This window comes from Homo sapiens, chromosome 2, assembly GCF_000001405.40.
Source record: "Homo sapiens chromosome 2, GRCh38.p14 Primary Assembly".
NCBI lineage: Eukaryota > Metazoa > Chordata > Mammalia > Primates > Hominidae > Homo > Homo sapiens.
In genome coordinates, this window is record NC_000002.12 from 103,647,269 (window position 1) to 103,652,410 (window position 5,142).

Below are 5,142 nucleotides of genomic sequence, written 5' to 3' on the forward strand. Positions count from 1 at the left end.
GAAAACTATTTATTCTAATATTGGCAAATATTTCTGAAATTAAAATGATGAGTGATAAAATTGTTTTCCAGGGGAGTTTCTATGGTCTTTGGAAGAGATTTGTACTCCAAATAACAAAATTGAAATAAAAATAAATAAATGTATTAATAGTCATCATTTATCAAGCACATTCTTGTTTTTCAGGTACTCTGCTAATCTTTTAAATTGTATTAACACATTTAATTGAATTCTCACACAGCAATATGAGCTAAGCGTTAATGTCCATTTTACATAGATAAGAAAATGAGGTCTAGAGAGGGAATTAAGCTAGTCAATAGGAGAGTTTTCCAATGCTGGGGCTGAGTGTCCATCATTTGGGAGTGGGATTGGGAGAGTAAGGGAGAAATAACCTTTTAAAGAAATCAGCTTTTTAAAAAATGTTCCATTCTAGAATGAAAGATAAAATACATCAATTTTTTTGTCAACATTTGCCACTTAAGAAAAAAAGGTTGGGAGGGCATTCTCCATTAATTGCAGAGTATCTTCAAGGATAGCTTTAAATATCTCACTGTGAAGTTCATTTTTAATGTAATATTGACATTGGAAACCAATCCATTAGATAATTGTGATTTTTCTGCCACTATAAATCTGTCATCAAAGTCAGTTTTATGGCATAAGGATATTCCTTTATACTTATTTCACAACTGCTATTAGGTATACCATCTTTTTTTTGCTTTTCTTTTTTTTTAATTTATTATTATTATACTTTAAGATTTAGGGTACATGTGCACAATGTGCAGGTTAGTTACATATGTATACATGTGCCATGCTGGTGCGCTGCACCCACTAACTCGTCATCTAGCATTAGGTATATCTCCCAATGCTATCCCTCCCCCCTCCCCCCACCCCACAACAGTCCCCAGAGTGTGATGTTCCCCTTCCTGTGTCCATGTGTTCTCATTGTTCAATTCCCACCTATGAGTGAGAATATGCGGTGTTTGGTTTTTTGTTCTTGCGATAGTTTACTGAGAATGATGATCTCCAATTCCATCCATGTCCCTACAAAGGACATGAACTCATCATTTTTTTATGGCTGCATAGTATTCCATGGTGATACACCATCATTTTACACATATGTCTACATTACAGGCATATCTTACTTTATTGTGGTTGACTTTGTTGCATTTCACAGATATTGAGTTTTTTTTAATAAATTGAAGGTTTGTGGAAACCCTACATCACCAGCAAGTCTATTGGCACAATTTTCCCAACAGCATGTGCTAACTTTGTATCCGTGTCACGTTTTGGTAAGTCTTGCAATAGTTCACAGTTTTTCATTACTGCTATATCTATTATGGTGATCTGTGATCAGTGATCTTCGCTGTTACCATTGCAAATGTTTTGGGACACCAGGAAAAACACCCTTATAAAATGGCAAAATTAATCGATAAAAGTGTATATGCTGACTGCTCCACCGACAGGTTGTTCTCTCCTCTCTCTCCCTTTCTTCTTCTGGCCTCTGTATTCCATGAGATGCAAAAGTATTGAAATTAGGTCAGTTAATAACCCTACAGAGGTCTCCAAGTATTCAGGATAAAAGAAGATTCACATGTCTCTCACGTTAAGCCAAAAGGTAGAAATAATTAAGTTTAGCAAGGAAGGCACAAGATAAGCCAAAAGCTAGACTACTTGTGTCAAACAGAGCCAAGTTGTGAATGCAAAACAAAACAAAACAAAACAAAACAAAAACCAAAAAAAGAAAGAAGAAATAAAGAAAGAAAAGAAAAAAAAAACCTTGAAGGAAATTAAAAATGCTGCTCCAGTGAACACAGCAGAAGCATAAAGGGAAACAGCCTTATTGCTAGTATGGAGAAAGTCTGTGTTGTCTGGATAGAAGATCAAAACAGCTACAACACTGCCTTAAGCCAGAGCCTGATCCAGAGCAAGACCCTAACTTTCTTCAATTCTGTAAAGGCTAAAAGAGGTAAGGAAGCTACAAAAGAAAAGTTTAAAGCTAGCAGAGATTGCTTCATAAGGTTTAAAGAAAGAAGTCATCTCCATAATATAAAATGTGAAGCATCAAGTGCTGATGTAGAAACTGTGTTATCCAGAAGATTAAGCTAAGATAATTGATTAAGGTGGCTACACTAAACAACATATTTTCAATTAGGTGAAACAGCCTTCTAATGAAAGAAGATGCCATCTAGGACTTTCATAAATAGAGAGGTCAAAGCCTGTCTTCAACGCTTCAAAGGACAGGCTGACTCTCTTGTTAGAGGCTAATGCAGCTGGTGACTTTAAGTTGAAGCCAATGCTCATTCACCATTCAAAAAATTTTAGAACCCTTAAACCTTATGCTAAATCTCCTCTGCCTGTGCTCTATAAATGGAATAACGAAGATGGTATGACAGCTCATCTGCTTAAAATATGGTTTACTAAATATTTTAAGCCCATGATCCAAATCTACTGCTAAGAAAAAACATTTTATTTCAAATTATTACTGCTCAATGACAATGCACCTAGATTCCCAAGAGGTCTGGTACAGATATACAAGGATATTAATGTTTTCATGCCTGTTGCCACAACATTCATACTTTAGCCCATAGATCAAGAAGTAAATTTGACTTTTGAGTCTGATTATTTAAGAAATACATTTTGTAAGGCTACAGGTGTCATACACAGGGATTCCTCTTATGGATTTGAGCAAAACAAGTTAAAAACTATCTGGAAAGGATTCGCCATTCTAGATGCCATTAAGAACATTCCTAATTCGTAGGATGAGGTCAAAATATTACCATTACAGAATTCTGAAGATATTTATTCCAACACTCATTGATAACTTTGAAGGTTTTAAGGCTTCAGTGGAGAAAGTCGCTAAAGATGTGGGGAAATAGCAAGAAAACTAGAATTAAAAGAGAAGCCCAAAGGTGTGACTGAATTGCTGCATTCTCATGATAGAACTTCAATAGGTGAGGAGTTACTTCTTATGGATGCGCAAAGAAAGTGTTTTCTTGAGATGGACTCCTTTCCTGGTGAAGATGTGAATATTGTTGAAATATTAACAAAGGATTTAAACATTATATAAACTTCATTGATAAAGCAGTGGCAGGGTTTGAGAGGGTTGACTTCAGTTTTGAAAGAAGTTCTACTGTGAGCAAAATGCTATCAAACAGCATCGCATGCTATAGAGAAATCTTTCATAAAAGGTAGAGTCAATCCATGCAGCAAACTTCATTGTTGTCTTATTTTAAGAAATTGCTGCAGTTACTCCAACCTTCAGCAACCACCACCTGGATCAGTCAACAGCCATCAATCAGCATGGAGGCAAGAACCTCCAACAGCAAAAAGATTACAACTCCTTGAAGGTTAAGATAATTATTGGCTTTTTTTAAGCAATATTTTAAAATTAAGATATGTGGCTGGGCGCTGTGGCTTAGCCTTTAATTCCAGCACTTTGGGAGGCCAAGGCAGGTGGATCACTTGAGGTCAGGAGTTTGAGACAGCCTGGTCAACATGGTGAAACCCCGTCTCTCCTAAAAATACAAAAATTACTCGGGCATGGTGGTGGGCACCTGTAATCCCAGCTACTTGGGAGGCTGAGGTACGAAAAATCACTTGAACCCAGGAGGCAGAAGTTGCGGTAAGCCAAGATCGCTAACTGCACTCCAGCCTGGATGTCAGAGTAGGACTGCATCTCAAAAAAAGAAGGAAGGAAGGAAGGAAGGAAGGAAGGAAGGAAGGAAGGAAGGAAGGAAGAAGGGAGGGAGGGAGGGAGGGAAGGAAGGAATGAAGGAAGGAAGGAAGGAAGGAAGGAAGGAAGGAAGGAAAAATGTACATATTGCATACTGCTACTTAATGCACACTTACTAGACTACAGTATAGTGGAAACATAACTTTTATAAGCATTAGGAAACCAAAAAGTGCAAGTGACTTGCTTTATTGTGATACTTGCTTTACTACGGTGGTCTGGAACTGAACCTGTAAGATCTTGGAAGTATGCTGGTGTATTGCAATGACAGCGAATTTTTTTAAACAGCATTTCTGAATTCTGGCTTCTTTTACTATTGTTTCCATTCTTTTTTTTTTTTTTTTTTTTTTTTTAGACGGAGTGTCCCTCTGTCTCCCAGGCTGGAGTGCAGTGGCGTGATCTCGGCTTACTGTGAGCTGTACCTCCCAGGTTCACGTCATTCTCCTGCCTCAGCCTCCCGAGTAGCTGAGACTACAGGCACCCGCCACCATGCCCGGCTAATTTTTTGTATTTTTAGTAGACATGGGGTTTCACCGTGTTAGCCAGGATGGTCTCGATCTCCTGACCTCGTGATCCACCTGCCTCAGCCTCTCAAAGTGCTGAGATTACAGACGTGAGCCACCGCGCCTGGCCACTATTGTTTCAATCTTTCTATAACATTTTCTCTCTAATAGTTGTTTATAGTGGAAACATGGTTCCATTTTCAGTGTATAAGACACTCTCAGTGTTGAAAGAGAGGAAGAACAGTTATTCAGTGCAGCACTTCTATACAAGTGTAGATTCATTTCTTAGAGTACAGAAGACATAAGACACAGCTTATTTTTAAAAACTTCAAACAAAATTCCACGATGATGGCTGAAAAGTTTTATAACACCTGGCCTTCTTTTTCAAAAATGGTTTTCATAGCTAACAAATAATCATCCAAATGGGATACTTTTAATACATTAATTTATAATACATGATTGTTTTGTATATCAGATATACATCAATATTTCAATTTATTAATTTTTAATAAGAAATAAAACTTTCTAGGTGACTGGGACACATTTTCAATCTTCTCAGCACATTATTTATCAGGAAGAAGGCTGGGGACAGAAGACCAACTGTTTTTTCCTTAGATCATCTTTTTTCCTAAACTCCAAGTAGACACTCACTATTCTTTTAACATGCAGTTTACTTAGATTTAGTATGTTTATAGAAATACAGATTTTTTAAAACATTATGATCCTAGGCATGGTTCATCTGATTGGCTTTTGCATTTATTAAATTTTAATCAGAAATACTTGTAAACTATTTTTAATAGAATACATTTCCTAGACATTAACTTCATTATTATCTTTAATTCTTCCTCATTTTATGGAAACTTTTACTGTTACAGAATTTATTACCAGTTTGGGGTTTCTTTTTCTCCCTTC